This window comes from Homo sapiens, chromosome 14 (genome assembly GCF_000001405.40).
Source record: "Homo sapiens chromosome 14, GRCh38.p14 Primary Assembly".
Taxonomy (NCBI): domain Eukaryota; kingdom Metazoa; phylum Chordata; class Mammalia; order Primates; family Hominidae; genus Homo; species Homo sapiens.
In genome coordinates, this window is record NC_000014.9 from 68130712 (window position 1) to 68148665 (window position 17954).

The window sequence follows — 17954 nt, forward strand, 5'->3', positions numbered from 1 at the left end:
TGAAAATAAAATTTCAAAGGTGAAATGGTGGCAACTTCACTTCCTATGGGAATTCCTGTAAATATCAGAGAAAAGTGCTTGGCAGTCACAGATTGTTGAGAGTTATCAAGTAAGCCTCCATAATCTACTGGTTCTTAATGCCTGATCTATATGGCTGACTTTGTGTGTGTGGGTGTGTGTTTGTGTGTGTGTGTGTGTCTTTTATTTACCAAATTTTGTTTTTTCATCCCTTAGGAAAAGTCAGGCTCTATTTGTTTGAGTATCAGTGGCTCAGAGGTTCTTTTATACAAATGTATTTAGCTAATTATGTGACTCAAATATCCAAATTTAGAATTATTAAATTCCTTTAGAGCAGATTGATAAACAGGATTATTGTTATTTTATTCCCTTGTCACATTGTTAGAGAATAAAACTCAATCTGTATTTCTAAAGTCAGTGACAACCATATCATTACATTGGCAAATTTTGTAGACTTAACTGAAACCACATCAAGCCTAAAAGGCTGCAATGTCACTTAGAATTTTAAAAGTAAACTGTATACTATACAGCTGAAAATATTTAATTTTATAGAAGTTAATATAAAATGACTTAAGATTTTAGTTGTCTATAAAATCAAAATCTGCCTCAGTGTCATGTGCTTGTGATGTGGGCTTTGGAGCTGCATTAACAAAAGTACATGTCAAGATCAAAGATGGACATATTCGCTGGGTGCGGTGGCTCACGCCCGTAATCCCTGCACTTTGGGAGGCCAAGGCAGGCTGATCACCTGAGGTCAGGAGTTCGAGACCAGCCTGACCAACATGGTGAAACCCTGCCTCCACTAAAAATACAAAAATTAGCCAGGCGTGGTGTCATGCGTCTATAATCCCAGCCACTTGGGAGGCTGAGGCAGGAAAATCGCTTGAACCCAGTGGGCGGAGGTTGCAGTGAGCCGAGATCATGCCACTTCACTCCAGCCTAGGTGACAAAGCGAAACTCTATCTCAAAAAAATAAAAAAATAAAAAGATCGACATATTCTTCCTATCGCTCTCTGTTCTGGTCAGACCACCTTTTGTTTGACTGCCATGTGTTCACAAAGATTTTTGATAAATGTTCATTTAGGAGGGAACCAATCAGATTATAGATTGGAAATCAAGTCACCTGAAGTACAGTTCAACAAGCTGAGATTACTTAGCCTAAAAAAGAGAAAACTTTGGGGATATGTTTAAGATAGACTTGTTTAATTATATAAACTAACCAGTTAATAGCATTTCTTATTGGAAGGATATTAAAGAGTTTACAGAGTCAAAGAGAAGAAGGAAGAATCAGGCTCAGAAAGGACAGGGAAAGAACAGCTTAAGAGGGCTCAGTAAACCTGGCAGTCACATTCTTCTGGGCTTCACTGCCAAAGTTATCACACTCCAGCAACTTTCAGTGTTTTTGTTAAGATTCAAAACTAGGGGATCTGGCTTGGGTCATATGTTCACTTTTTGGCTAAAGAATGGCAGGGAATCTTGACTCATAATCCCATTAGGCTGCATTCAGTGGGGTAGAGGTAATTTTCCTCAAAGATTTGGGGTGCTATTATCAAAATAGTAAGGAAATATATGCTGTACAGACAAAAAGTAATGAATATCCACAAAGGTTATGTGATCATAATCTTTGAATATTGGAAAGAGGAAGATGAGCCTTGGTAAGGATGTAAGGCAATAGTTGGAATATCCATGGAGGCATATGTGTTTCAACATCAGGAAGAACATTCTAACAATTAGAGCTCTTAACAGGCTGTATTGTGAGTTATGGACTTCTTATTCATAGTAGGATATTCTTTTCATTGCATGTGGTGGAAACGTGACTTGAACTAGCTTGGTAAAAAGAGGAAATTAGTGGAAAGATATTAGGAATGTCTCATGTGAACAAAGAAAGGATTGAACAGCCAAACTGTGGAGAGGGCAGGCATCCCACTGGGCCCCAGAAACTGCTAGAACCAGAGACTCAAATGCAGCTTTCCTTATTTCTCTTTCTTTCATCTCTGCTTCTCTCAGAGTATTAGCTCATTTTCCCTCTGCAGACTTACTCTCTCATGCACATTATGTGAAACATGATTGCTAAGCATGCCTGGGTTATACATCTCCCAACAATCAAGAGAAACTCTCTCTAGCACATTTAGTGAGAAAAACCTTGGAAAAATTCTCTGGTCCAGGTTGGGCCAAGTGCCCAATTCTGAACAAATCAACCAAGGCCAAGGGGCAGGACCCCTAGTTTGGTTCCAGTGCCTTCTCTGGACTGATCTCGGGATGGAAAAAATTGGCTCTTAGGAGAACTATAATTGAGAAAAGCAGTTCACAGAAAAAAGAGGGATGCTTTTTCCAGAAAAGAATGTGGGGGGCAGGCAATATAGTAATTGCATGTATTCAAAGGTTAGCTCAATCAGAAATATTAGAGAAATGAATCTTATGTTGGTGGGAATTTGAACTGGAAGAACTTGAAGTTCTTTCCAACTCAGAGATGATGTGATTCTAGCTGTTTTTCAGGTAAGGCAGGCACATATTGGTTTATACTAGGAATTTTCTTTTTCCACGTATTTCTACTCAAGGATTACTCTGTTTGGAAACTGAGGAATATTTATTCAGCTGTTTTTGAATTTGAGGATAGAGGAAAATGTTTTATTTTCTAAAAATGAATGTCTGGTAGAAGAGAAGTCATGTATGCTTTTTAAAAAATGGAACCTGTGGCTTTAAAGTCACATTACCTTCAAAGACAGTACTCTTAAATCTGAATGATTTTTTTTTCTTTTTGAGACGAAGTCTCACTGTGTTGCCCAGGCTGGAGTGCAGTGGCGTGATCTTGGCTTACTGCAACCTCCACTTCCCGGGTTCAAGCGATTCTCCTGCCTCGGCCTCCTGAGTAGCTGGGACTACAGGCGCACACCACCACGCCTGGCTAATTTTTGTATTTTTTTAGTAGAGACGGAGTTTCACCATATTGGCCAGGCTGGTCTCGAACTCCTGACCTCGTGATCCTCCCGCCTTAGCCTCCCAAAGTGCTGGGATTACAGGCATGAGCCACCATGCCTGGCCAAATCTGAATGATTTTTTTAAGATTATTTTGGCTTGTTAAGAAAACTTTTTTTTTTAAATAATTATATATTCATAGCAAGGTACAAAGAAATGTACAGCGAGGTCATATATATCCTTCACCCAGCCTTCCCCAGTGTTGACATATTCCATGGCTCAAGTACAGTATCAAAACCTGGAAACCAATATGGGTACAACCCATAAAACTTATTTCACCAGTAATGCATGCATTCATTTTTGTGTGTCATCATGCGTAGCTTTGAATAACCACTAGCATCCATCAAAATGCCTCACTGTATTATCAGAAGCCTCTCGTGCCACATCCTGCTAGCCACACCCACCCCATCTCATATTCCCTAACCTCTGGTAACCGTGAATCTGTTCTCCATCTCTGTAATCATGTTATTTCACAAATATTACATAAATGAAATTATACAGTATGTAGCCTTTTGTAATTGGCTTTTTCCACTTTTCTTATGGTTCATCCAAGTGGTTATGTGTATATAGAATTCATTTATTTTTATTGCTGAGTAGTATTTTGTTGTATGGATGTACCATAGTTTGTTTAACTATTCACCCTTTTAAGGATATTTGGATAGTTTTCAGTTTGGGACTATTATGAATAAAGCTGCTCTGAACCTTCATGTACAAATTTCTATGAGAAAAGTTTTCATTTCTCTGGGATATGTATCAAAGAGTACAATCCTGGGTTGTATAGTAAATCTATTTTTAGTTTTAAAAGGAACTATCAGACTGTTTTCCAGAATGGCGATTCCATTTTACATTTCCACCAGCAGTGTATGAGTGATCCAAAATCATTTAGCGTTATCATTAATTTTTAAATGCCATTTTTGATAGGTGATAGTAATATTGTGATTTTAATTTACATTTTTCTAATGACTAATTGATGTTAAACATATTTTCATGTGTTTACTTGCCATCTATATATCCCGCTTGAGTGAAAGGATGTCTGTGTATATTTTTTGCTAATTTTCTAATTGGGTTATTTGATTTTTTTAATGTTGAATTTTGGGAATCCTCTTCGCATTCTAGATACAAGTTCTTTGTCTGATATATGGTTTACAAATATTTTCTCCCATTCTGTAAACTACCTTTTCATCCTGTTAACAGGGTTTTTGCAGAGCAAAGGTTTTACATTTTGATGAAGATGATTTTATGTTATTTTTATGATTAATATTTTAAGGAATGAAGTATACATTTTGCATACTTTTTATTGATCTTAAGAATTTTAAATTGCCAAATTACCTGCTCTACCTTCTTTTTCAGCTCAGACGTGTTACCAATGCAGATGCAGTTAAATTTTAAGATGAGTAAAACCATTGAGTACATAGTGTTTAAGTGTAGTGGAATGTCTGTGTGTTCTACTCTATTCTAATACCTGCTTTTCTCTAGTGTTTTAATTAATGTAGCAAAGGAAGATCTCACTTTCTGAGGTAGTTTCATTTTGAGTTTCAGCAAGATTTAATAACACCGGAAAGAGGACATGTGATTCTACTTGTACAATGGATTATTGTAAATAAACACCTCATATTACTAATATTTTTCTTTCTACACAATCCCAACCATATTAGACAGTGCAGCAACGTCCCATGTTGCTTTGTTTATATAAATTTAGCCTTTAGCTTTTCCTTTTGGCAGCCCATTTGTTCATTCCAGAAATACTGCACACCTACCAGCTTTGTCAAGATTGTGCTGGGTTCAGGGTTATAATGGGGAATAGTATACACATAGACATAGGTTCTGCCCTCATGGAGCTTACAATTTGGTTCTCATTTCTTATTATGGTAAGCTTGTATTGCCTGTCAGTATTTCACTGATTTGATTGAATATCCTTACTTCCCATCTTCTGTCACAGAATCTTCCTCATTCATCCAAAACGCAACATGTCCAAATCTTAGTGAATGCTTTCAGTGCTTTGGGAGTGGTTACATTCCATTAAGATTAAATCCAAGCCAAGCAAGTAATACTTACAAGCATGCACAGGAGAATATGAGATGAGGAGAGAAATCCTCATACTTAGTTAATTTCTTGCCAAGTAGAGAAATTTTCAGTAGAGCCTTAAGTTACCTCAGGGATGGCTGAAGATTCTAAATATGAGATTCCAAAGTCCACCGTTCACCATATTCTATAAAAAGAGACTCAGCCATTTGAACAAGCTAGCTAATCAGATGCCCTCTGCATAGTTCATATTTTTAAAAATCTTGGTCCTTATATTATTTATAAAAAAAGTGACTCTATATTAGTTTTAAGGTATAAATGAGACACTTTTCCTATCTGTAAACTAGCTGATCTATTTGTAGTCTGGCTTAAAATGTGACTTGCCCAAACATAGGAAAATCTTCCAAAACAGGATCTAGACTGTGTAATTAAAAATCAAAATTAGTTAAGAATCAAACGTCTGAATTGAAAATTTAATTTTTAGTTAAATTATTTGCTATCCAGTCATCTTTAATATTTTGTTTTGCTGTGAGCAGGGTCACATATGACAAATTAAAGGTGGATCAGGCCGGGCACAGTGGCTCACACCTGTAATCCCAGCACTTTGGGAGGCCAAGGCGGGCGGGTGGATCACGAGGTCAAGAGATCGAGACCATCCTGTCCAACATGGTGAAACCCCATCTCTACTAAAAATACAAAAATTAGCTGAGCATGGTGGCACATGCCTGGAGTCCCAGCTACTTGGGAGGCTGAGGCAGGAGAATCGCTTGAACCCGGGAGGCAGAGGTTGCAGTGAGCTGAGATCACACCACTGCACTGTAGTGTGGTGACAAATGAGACTCCATCTCAAAAAAAAAAAAAAAAAAAAAAAAAAGAAGTAGACCAGCCATACTTTTAAAAGCTTATTGTAACAAACACATACTGCTTATTCCATGCTGGTGTGTTTTGTGTTCTTTGCAAATGTTAACTAATTAAATCCTGACAATAAACCTATTAAGATAGATATTATTAACCTCATTTTACAGATGATGAAACTGAGACAGAGGGAGACTAGATAACATGCCCAAGGTCATACAGTTAATAAGTGGCAGAACCAGGGTTCAAAACCAGTCCAGAGGCTATGCTCTTAACCACTATACAATGGTCCCATATTGTAGTTAATCAGGTATTTTTCCATATAACACAATAAAAGCATTGAACTGGGATTTTCCTATATTTGAGAAAACAGTATGGAAATAACAGATGGAGGTATAGAAGTTTTTGATAAGCTAGGCATGTTGGCTCATGCCTGTAATCCCAGCACTTTGGGAGGCCGAGGAGGGTAGATCACTTAAGGTCAGGAGTTCGAGAGCAGCCTAGCCAACATGGTAAAACTCTGCCTCTACTAAAAATACAAAAATTGGCCTGGCGTGATGGCACACGCTTATAATCCCAGCTAGTCGGGAGGCTGAGGCAGGAGAATCACATGAACCCGGGAGGCGGAGGTTGCAGTGAGCCGAGACCACGCCACTGCACTCCTGATAGAAGGAAAACTGGACCTAAGGATTTGAGTTTTGACATTACTAGTACAAGCTGTGTGTAACTTTGGGGAAGGCTGCTACATTAGTTTCAGTTTCCTATTGCTATGGTAAGAAATTACTACAGATTTAAGTTACATAAAACAACCCAAATTTATTATTTTATAGTTCTTGAGAATTTTAAAATCAAAGTGTTCTTTAATGACTACAAAAGCTAATACACTGTTAACCTCTTTCCAATTCTATTAATACCATCATTATCTTTAATAGTTGCATGGAATCCACATGGAATGCACCATAAATGAATCGAAATCTTATGTTGAACATTTGTTTACTGTCTTTTGCCATTATAAACAATATTATGATGAACATCCCTAAATATATGCCTTTGAATACTTGTTCAATTTTATTCATTGGGGCAAAAAGGTATGCACATTTTAAAGAACTACAGTCCACAGGTGTTCATGCAATTGCTGAGGGTTTTCTGAGAAGGTGAACAAGAGCAGTCTATTTCAAAACTACTGAAGCCCTTTTTGCATGACTGACTGGCATTCCCTAACTGGGCCTTCTTCGTTGCCCTGACACTGCCTGTTGCTGCTCCTCTGAGAAGGAATGTGTATTCACAGATGAGGCGCTCCATTAGTCATGGTGCATTTCCTGGGCCCTGGAGACATGGGCATGACATCACCAAGGGCCAATGAGAAAGGATTCTCTGTAGCAAGCTCTCAAAACTCTTTAGAGGATTGTAGACTGTGTGTTCTGTTCCTAGCCCTCAGGGTGTGATTTGAGCTTGCCTTGCTCATCCAGCCATAGTCTGGGCACAAAAGTCTAGCTTACAGACCCAAGAAGCCAGGACAAGCTTGAAAATCTGCAGAGCTGCAGGCAGATTCCCATTTAGTATTTTTTTTTTCCAGGGCTCAGGTTGTTATTCCCAGAGTTTTCCACTCCTAATGATGTTGTTACTTCATGTGGTAATGGGTGGGTGGTGAAAGATGAAGTCTGCATTAAATAAAAGACATTTGGCAGTTAAAATTTCTGGGTAAGTATAGGTTGGTAGCATAACAAAATCAGAAGTACATTTTACCGTTTTGTTACATTGCTTTTGTGTGTAGTTTCACATAATAAAACAACATCTTTTAACAGCAAAGGCTCCTAGCAAAATGAGTGTGGCTTAAAATAGGGCAATTACCAAAGAACTTTACTGAGGGGATTAGTAACTCATTAAATCTTTTCTCTTCAAGGAGAAAAGAAACTTAAAAAAAAATTCTCTTTTCTTGGGTTTTAAGCATTTTGGATAAAAACTTTTCTGTCTTTCTCTGTATCTGTCTCTCTCTCTGCTCCCTAATTTATGTATTTATTTATGAAAATGATTTGTGGAATTTAGTCAGGGATAACTTTGTTAATTCTGCACACCAGGAAGTCTATTGAAAGACTTATTTCCTAATTGGCCCAATCTTTTGCTAACAAGGTATAATTGTAAAATTATCTTTTTAAAAAATAGTCAAGGAAATTAAGGCTCAAAACTCAATGTGAGCTTACACTGAACAGACTTTTATAGCTTAACTCAGTAGTTGAACCTAAGAGCTGTGCTTTTCTATCTTCATTCAATCTATGATTGAATGAGAATGGTTCTTTTAGTATTTTTTCATGTTTAATTCCTTTTTGATGAAGTCAAAGAGAAATTGGGAAAAGTAGCCATCTTTATTAGTGTGTTATCTGTGGATGCCATATACTATGGAAGAACCTGCCTCTACCACTTTTAAAAAAATGTTTCTGCAAGATAAAGATGATTTTTTTTTGTAATTATAGCAGCTTTTATTTTTAAAAATCACTTGAAACCGCATGAATTTATCCTTATTTCCTAACATATATACCAGTAATTAAAGGACTTTCCTCTAGAACTATAACATACTATAAGACAGGGCACTTTTCAACACTTCAGAGATCCTCCTTCAAAGATCTCTGTGCAATTCAAAACATTTATTACTAAAATTTCAAAACATCTCTGGAGATATTCTAAATGGTTTTTTTTTTTTGGCTTGTATAGATGAGAAAGTTGAGGTACAGAAAGATTGAACCTTGTACTTTGTGTCAGTCATAGAAGCAGATACTGCATACATAAATCATTCTTTTATCAAAACTCTTAAGAGGACAGTTCTTTGTGTCTTTGTATAAAATTGTTCTTGTTTTCCTTTGACAGCTTCAGGCTTTGCCTTATTAACAGCAGTGCTTATTTTTCAAAACCCTTTGATTGAGACAAAAAAAAAAGCAGGTTCATCTAGCCTAGGCAGAACTGGAAGAAGCCCTGAAAGGGATAAATTACCTAAGGGGTGGCAGTGTGGGGCATGGGAGCACTCCCACTGCCTCACTCTTAGCAGAGTACTTGATTCTTCTCAATCCCATCCCACAATTTCTCCCACCTGAACCAATATTTGCCAGTTTTCTACTCGAGGGTTGCCATGACTCCTGATGAGTTAATATTGGTAAAACACTTTAAGCCTTTGGAAAAAGGTCTCATAAAAGTGTACAATTGGCACTGGCCCTGATAGTAGTCACAGGCTTTTTGAGTGGGCACTAGGCACCCTCAGATAAGGTTAACCAGATCCCTGTTTTTGGCGAGGACAGGCTCTAGAATGAGGTCTGCTGCTGCCATCTTGAGAGAACACATCTGGTTTGAAACGTTGAAAGCCAGGTGACCCTTGAAGCAGCCACACAGTAATGTCTCCTCACTGCTTCTGCTTCCTGCTAATTTGGGGAGCAGCAGGTGCCTCCCTGAGAAACCCTGCCAGAGGGTTGGCATGCCATGCTGATCGTCTCATTAAGCCCTAAACTTTTTCTACAGAAGAAAACTCTCAAAAGGCGATTCCAGAATATGACAGAGAGAGGTCATGACAGATAATCAGATCAGTTTATAAAAAGTTAAGGATGAGTCATGTCACTCCTAAAGGAGTTGGCATCAATTTATTACACAAGACCAAACACTGAAGGAAGAAAAGCCTTTAGTCTCATTAAGGAGCCCAGACAAAAATCCCACTTAATCCATCTTGCTTTTCCTTTTCCTGCAACTCAGCTGGTGTGCAGGTGTAGGGCAGCTTGGCAGAAGATTTGAACGTTTGGAAAAGGGAGTCATTACTGAAAGTCACTGACACACACTTCCCTTGGAATGCTGCTGATGTCATGGAAAACCAGGACCTTAGCAATAACCCCTAACAACCACAGCTACAGTAAACAGTAAATGTTACCTCCACCAAGGCATTGGTTTTTAAAGAGTTTTAACAGGCCAGGGCTTGCCAGCCACAACTCATAAAAATGTTCTTATAATTTTACCCTACTCTCTAAAAGTGCTGGATAACTGCTGAGGTTTCTCTGCCACTTGGGATGCAAAGCCAAATTCACGTCACTTTCAAGGTTCACTAATCAGAATTTACAGCATTTCTTTTGCAGTCCTCTTCATACCCCCTGCCATGCTCACAGAGTTAGGTCTGGTAGATTTCATACTTTTTCAAAGAAGTCTCTTGTCTTACTGAGTTGTCTCAATTTCTGGTGATGGTGTGAATTAATGTGCCAGGTTTTGACTAGTGTTTTATTAGTCTAGAGGTTAGGCAAATCTGGTTAATTGATAGCACTCAATCTATAGGTTATATTCCAATCAATTTGAAACAACCGGGCAAAGTGGCATTCTATAGTTCAAACTCTGAACTGGGTATTGTCAAGGTGACCATATAATTTATCATCAAAACTAGGATATTTTTGAAAGTAAAGGGGCTCTATTAATAATTACTCTGAGATAACAGCAATAAACCGGGACTGTCGAAGCAAGTTGAGCATAGGGTCACCCTTGTTACTGTGCCAAGAGTCACCATCTAGCTGTCATTTATTAAGTCAGACATTGAAGAAACTTGCAGGAATGCAGAACAGTGCCACTCTTCTCATGAACATTTTTTGTTTTAGAAAATCTAGTCATTCTCATAAAAATGTTATTTATGATAAGATGTTATGAGTTTATTAGTGTTAGTTTTAAATGAATTAAATAAATGCTTTAAAATTCATCTATTTTAATTTCTAATATGGTAAATATAATCCTCCCAAGTAAAAGCTCTATAGGTCTTCAATAATTTTTATATTCTTAAAGGGAACCCAAGACTAAAAGTTTTGAGAATTGCTGCTTTTTCTCTGCATGGGAAAGAATATACTACTAAAGCAAAATGATAAATTCCCTGGCAAGAGAGACCAGCTTAATCATGATTGCATCTGCTACAGCACTAGCAAAATGTCCTGCATATAGTTAGTATTCTGTAATACATAAATATGAGTAGACAAATCTCGTGTGACAACGCTGAAAAGTTGCTGTGTTTTCTGACGTTTGGGTATTACATTAACATTATTATTTGGTTTAAGTCTTTGTTTTTTGATATTCAGTATGTTTGGTACTCTTTGTTAATCTTATTTCGACACAACAATGATGATGTCATTTTTCCTTCGAAAGTTTTATGGGATAGATCAAATTTCCTATGAAATGAGTATGTTAGATAAGAAAACATAAAGCATAATAAAAGTAGGACTCCTTTCTTTTAACCTGCCTAACTCATGTTTATCCTTTATCTCAGGTGTCATCTTCTTCATTTGGCCTTCCTAGACCTTCCCAGGCTGGTCTGCAGCCCCTCCCATGTGCTTTCAAAGTACCTTTTATCACAAGACTTATGACTCAGGGTCATTCCATTCATATGTTGGTTTCCCCAGTTAATTTTGAGTGCTTTTATGTCAGAAGCATCCTTTAATTTCCTTATTCCCAGAATTAAATGATGCTTGGTAAAGCTATTAAAGACTATCTGTTACACTGAAATGAATATAAAGAAGGAAAAACTAGTTAATTTAACTTTTACTAGTTAATGAAGTGTTTTTTTTTTAAATGTCATATGACATGATTTCTATAGTACTGGAAGAAAAAATTTTTTAGAGTAAAGGAAACCACAGTTTGAGGAAAGAAGATAGATTGCTTTGTTATGACCTTACATGCAGATTGATTTACATCTACCTACCCCTCCACTCTCAAACTCCTTTTCAGAGTTAGACTCTTTTAAGCCCTTTAAGGGTTACGTATTTCTGAGTATGTGATTTCTGTCAATATCAGAAATTATTTCCATTGGCAAAAAAAGTTATGAAATGATTTCTATAATATAGGTTTACTTTTGTTGCAAGTAACTTTTCATTCTTTATGTTTTTCTTTCTTTCAAATGAAAATATTATCTTCTATATTTAAATTTGTTCCTTGAGTTAGAAATATAATATTTTAAATCCATGCTTAATTTAATTTAGAAGACATCTCCAAGGCCTAAAATTGACTTGCTGTTTTGTAAATCAACATGACAGGATAAACAGAGGCCATAGTTTATTTGGGAAGCAGCATGATCGTCATGATTTAATAATAGTGATAATTATATGTAATAAGTAAAAGTAGGAATCTAAGTTTTATGAAGATGGTTTTTAATGCCATGTGTTTTGCTTGGTTTTAGTTTGGGTCTTTTCTCTGAGTGCTGTTCTGTGCCTCCACATTTGTTTCTCTTTTTGGAGACCACACATTTTGGATAATTACTTACCAAACTTATATGCAAATTATTGATGAGAGTCAGAACACATCACAGTTTTTATCAAGTCTCCACTAAAAAAGGGGTTGGGGGCTTGCAGTGAGCTGAGATGGCACCACTGCACTCCAGCCTGGGCGACAGAGCAAGACTCTGTCTCAAGGAAAAAAAAAAGGCGCGGAGGGCGAGGGGGTGGGGGGGGAGTTATTATGCTGTCTGAGATGGAGTCCTAAAGGAACACTGTGATTTCTGTGGACAGGTGACTGGCTGGATGGGGATGAGAGAGCTGGGTACTTGTCCCAACTTTGCCACTTTCTAAGTTTTGGTGTGTTTTTAGCATGTCACCTTACTTCTCTTAGCTGCTATTAGTGTCCCCATCTGTAAAATCAGTCTGATCAGGCTGGGTTAGATGATCTCCAAGGTCTTTTACAAATCATCTAATTCTATAGCTTGTGTAGTCTTCTGTCAGGATTTCTTGTTCTTGAAGTCCCTAGTTGACAGATAATGGTGTGGAAGGAAATGATACATGGCAGAGTCCTGAATGACCAAAATGGACTTTGTCCACACTTATGTGCTAATCTCCAAAGAAGAAGAAAATACAAATGGGCCAGCGGCCAAACATGAAAATGGTGACAGTGAGCAAAACATTGAAGCAGACAGCTGAAAGCTTCATTTCCTGGCCCGGCTGCCATGAGAAATGCTGTGCTTGCCAAACCCTTCAGGCTGTCAAGGCCAGAACTTTGGCTAGCTCTTATTTTGAGCTCCCCCCATACCACACACACAAACCACACAGGAAAATTGTCTCTCTCCCTTTATATTTGTGCCTTTTGGCTACACTTCTATTTATGCCAAGTCCTTGCCTAATCTCCTTCCTTCCAGCTGTCACTATACTCTGCCTGTTGCTTTCTGGGGGCTTTGAAAAGCAGCTGCAACCTTCAGAGGAAGCGCAGGGTGGTTGGCATTGGTGGAAGGGTATTGTAAGTGTGTGTGGACTCTATCAGAACCAACCGTCACTTTTACCTGGTTTATGGACAGTCCAAACAGTGTTCTCACTCTCTTTCCTTGGCAAATGTTAGAACTGATGGCTTTATTTTTTTCTCCCTCCCTTCATCTTCAGGGATTTTTTTTTTCTCTTCTACATTACTCAGCCTTTTTGTCTGTGAACATCCTGTGGAAGATTTCATTTATCTTAGGTTCTTTGGCCAGGCTGCTCATCATCTTTTTTTTCCACATAAAACATATTTACCTAATGAGAGAACTTAAGATGGATAACCAGAGCCTCTGTACTCTCTCACAAGCCTAGAAATTTGACACTTTCTCAATTCTGACAGTTCATCCCAAACCATTGGCCTCCTAAGGCCCAGAGAGCTCTTGGTCATTTGCTGTCTGTCTAGCCCCAGCTGTTGGAGAACTAGCTTAGGTGTACTTTCACCCCTGGCCTGTGTTGTTTCCCCACAGAGCTTGTCTGCATATGTCTCATATTGGCTCTTAGTGAGGGCGGCTGAGCAAAGAGGCACTTGGTTGTCATCATTTTAGAAAATCAAGGAAGAATCTCAGGAAGCCTGATTGAAGAATCTTGGCTCAATATAGGGGAACACCATGTACTATGAAGGTTTTAAGTTATTGCGCTTGCACAGACTGACTTTGTGGCCTTAATATGGAAAGCAAAACAAGATTAAAATCTCACACAGTCATTGTCTTTTGTAGTAGAGCATTGTCTTTTGTTGATGAGTAGAGCTTTTTGAGATACAATGAGTTGTTCTCTGCTGCTCTTTCTGGAAACTTCGTTAACTATCTTGCCCTATACCTGGCAGTGCCAACCCACATTTCTGTTTATATAAAAGGAACTCCATATCCTCTTCAGAAGCTAGTAAACAAAAAAACCTCAAAGCATATCTGTATTGGGGTTTGTCTATGTTTTCTCATGTCTGTATTTTGTGTTTTATTTAAAATAATTAAAATGTTAATTGATTTTAACTTCAAACAGATGAATTTGTTTGCTAAAATTCTTTTTTTGATGGGATCTTGTTTACCTTTTTGTATACTATATAAAGTCTTTTTTATTCATATTGGGAAGATAACACTACAAAGCCATTTTTTTCCATTTCTGCCTGTATAATTTCCTCAATCTTTGACTTGCTTGGCTATATTGTTTCAAATACCCAGTTAACCTTTTTATTACTCATTTCCTTATTACATGCTTTTGCATTGTCTACAATTCATAGAATCAGTATGGTAAAACATTAGAGCTGGAAAAGCCATTAAATATTAACTATCCAAACTCCCTATTTTATATTAATAGATGAGAAAAAGCCTGCAGAAGGAACATGATTAGACCAAGGTCACACACATGCCACAGCCAGGCTGACAAGTCTTCTGACCCATTGTCTAGTGGTTTTCCATTATAACACCTGTGCTCCATGTGTCAGGAATTTTCCAAAGCACTAGTGAGAACTCCATCAGAGACTGCATCCTACTGGAAAGGGCACAGGCTTTGGAGCTGGATAGATCTGGGTTTGAATATCTTGTTCTGCCACCTACGGGCGGGGTACATTAGGCAAGGAACCAAAGCTTTTGGGGACTTGTTTTTTCCTCTGTTATATGGCAAAAGTAACAAGAATACTTTATGGTTATTGTGGGTATTAAATTATATAACCTACATTAAAGTACCTGTTACACATATTATGTTTAATAAGTTATTATAAAAATCTGCTGTTCACAGAAAAATGTGATATGTGTAAATAATAACTTAAAATAGGTATTTCATTATTGGGTATTCTGAGCCTCTCTTGTTCAGTAGTATTTTCTTGAAGTCAGTATTAATATGTGAATTGAGTGAATTGTCTGGAAATGAATTACTGAAAGTTATTTATATCTTGATTGTGATTCATACATTTCCCTTTTCTTTATGGCTTTCCTCTGTACTTAGCTGCAGTGCATCTGCATCCTATCCAAGAACTTTTGTACAAGTTGAACTCACCCAAAGAAGACATTTGGAGAGTACTTGGGTTTGGCCCCTGCTTTTCATCTGGCTAAACACTATTAGATAAATCTAGAATATATAGTCTATGTAGAATATTATGTTTACATTTTTAGAAACTTTGGATTTTTAGTGTTTTTCTGAAACTTACTGAACTATGTGATGAACAGCTTCAGTGTGAAATTATACGTACTTGGTCTGAGTATAGGTAGAAGTTATGTTCAATATAAAGGGGCCCAGGACTGTTGTTAAAAGGAATAAGGACTACATTATTTAACTAGTAGTGTGGGGAGGTGGAATGAGTTAGGAAACAAAAGCTAAGATGGATTTAGCAAAGGCCAGAGCAAGAAAAGAAAGTTTAGGCTGGGCGTGGTGGCACATGCCTATAATCCTAGCGCTTTGGGAGGCCTTGGTGGGCGGAATGCCTGAGCTCAGGAGTTTGAGACCAGCTTGGGCAACGTGGTGAAACCCCATCTCTACTAAAAATACAAAAAATTAGTGGATATGATGACGTGCACCTGTAGTCCCAGCTACTCAGGAGGCTGAGGCAGGAGAATTGCTCGAACCAAGATGGCGCCACTGCACTCCAGCCTGGGCAACAGACTGAGACTCTGTTTCCCCCCCACGGCCCCCTCCCCCACAAAAAAGTTTAGAATCGTCGCAGGAGGTGACTCAGGGGAATTTCATTTAAGGGCCTCTCAAATTGCTTGGGTGTTGTTGGCTTACTGGAATGCCTTGAGTTTGAATTAGAGGGAAGGACCTTAAGGAACTAGACAGAATTTTGCTTCTCTATTAGAGGACCCTGGCTTAGGTTTTAAACGGAAGTTAAGTGCAATTAGAAAGAGGCACTATGTACCTAACACGTAGTGGATCCTTCATATGAAACCATTAATTGTCAGGGGACTTTGAGGCTCATATAATTTGGCCCATAATTATGGCTACATAAGTAAAAGCTGTGAACACTCTTAGGGTTTTTTTTAAATTGTTTTTTCAGTAAAGGTGAAAGTATAGCAGTGTTGGGAGGGGGTGTTCCTTGTGCCTATTTGTACACAATGTCTTAGATTAGATTAAGAGCCTTAGGCCAATGATTGCTTAAAGATAAAAAGCAGGCATGATTCTGGAGGGATATTGGATAATCAAATATGACCAGGAAATAGAAGGTCCTATTTTGCTGTATTTTGGGTTCATCCAGATGGGATCAGACCAGAGGAATTTGGCAAGCATTGAGACTCGCCACTTAGAACCACACTGAAATAGTTGTGGTGGCAAAAGAATTTCTCCGGGAGTCTTATTCCACTTGAGGCATAACAGCCAGAGATTCCTGGCCTTTGAGGGGAGAGTGCCAAAGTTGATGTATTTTAAAAACATCAACTGAGATCTATAAACCTACGAGAAATAGTTGAATTGGATGACACTGGGACTATGTGTTTCTGTACTTTTCTTACAGAAGACATACTATGAATACATGTGTCCTGGAATCTACTTTTAAAAATTAGTTCTATGCTCATATCCTCACATTGAGATTTAATGTATTTCAGTTTAATAAATGAGAACATATAAAATAATTTACCTGTAAGGACCTGTCTATGGGAACTTCTATATTCTGCTTGAAATTCTGACACATTAACCTGGCCATTTCCAAAAACTTTCTGGCAAGAGCTCTTCATGGACCTAATAATTGCTTTACTGTTTAATCATTCCCTGAGCCTTTTTATACTCTAGTAAACTGCATCTGTCACTAGATTTCATCACCATCTGTATTATTTATCCCTTGTAATCTGATATCTATCTCTATAATGCCCAATTGTATCCCCTTCAAGTGCCCACTTCATTGGCTTATATACATTAGGTTTTCAATAAATATTTTTATATAATGGTAAATGAAGAAGTTGTTCTTTATATTTTAAACAACTCTTACGGAAGGAGATTACAACACAGCTGGAAGGAATTATTGTGAGAGTGAAACATGGAACCAAAAAAGATAAAGCAAGGGAAATTAAAAAAAAAAAAAGAGCTTTATTGAGTTATAACTGACATCCAATAAACAGCACATATTTAGTCCAATTTGATGTTTTAACATATTTACATACCCATTAGATCATCACCACACTCAAGATAATTAACATGTCTTTTATCCTTAAATGTTTCTACATGACCTTTGCAATCCATGTCTCTTACCCTTCCTTACCTTACCCTCATAAGCAAAACACTGATCTGTTTTTGTCACAATAGATTATATTACATTTTCTAGAGTTCCTTATTAATGGATCATACAGTATAAACTCATTTTGGTCTTGCTTTTTTACTCCAATTTATTTTGAGATTCATCCATGTTGTTGCATGTATCAGTACTTCATTACTTTTTCCTGCAAAGTAGTTTTCCACTGTATGTATATACTACATTTGCTTATCCATTCATCTGTTGATGGATATTTTGGGTTCTTTCTAGTTTATGGCTATTACAAATAAATCTACTATGAACATTTGACTACAAATTTTTGAAAAGAGGTATGCTTTCTTTTTTATTGGGCAAATACCTAGGAGTGGAATCACTAGATTATAGGATTGCTGTATGTTCAGCTTTGTAAGAAACTGCCAAACTGTCTGTACCATTTTGCTTTCTCACCAGCAATGAATGAGAGTTCCTGTTGCTTCACATCCTTGCCAGCATTTGGCGATGTCATTGCTTTGGATTTTAGTCATTCTGATACAGATGTTCCCCAACTTACAATGGTTTGACTTACACTTTTTTGATTTTTCAATGGTGTGAAAGCAATATGCATGCAGTAGAAACTATACTTTAAATTTTGAATGTTGATCTTTTCCTGGGCTAGTGATATGTGTTACGATACTCTCTCG

At 37.5% G+C, this 17954-nt stretch overlaps 1 protein-coding gene and 1 long non-coding RNA gene across 14 annotated transcripts in view, besides 1 other annotated feature; one reads left to right on the top strand and one right to left on the bottom strand.

Annotated features, from left to right (window-relative positions):
* The window catches only part of RAD51B (RAD51 paralog B), an 863318-nt gene that overhangs the window by 310933 nt on the left and 534431 nt on the right, over positions 1-17954 (top strand). The gene's annotated exons all lie outside the window — the stretch shown is intronic.
* LOC105370546 (uncharacterized) overlaps positions 1-17954 on the bottom strand; it is a 45990-nt gene that overhangs the window by 9464 nt on the left and 18572 nt on the right. The window lies entirely within an intron of this gene.
* Positions 6939-7923: an enhancer, noted in NCBI's record as "NANOG-H3K27ac hESC enhancer chr14:68604367-68605351 (GRCh37/hg19 assembly coordinates)". NCBI's record gives its function as "activates a minimal SCP1, AML or CMV promoter by ChIP-STARR-seq in primed H9 embryonic stem cells {active_cell/tissue: H9 hESC(primed)}" and the evidence as "EXISTENCE:reporter gene assay evidence [ECO:0000049][PMID:30033119]".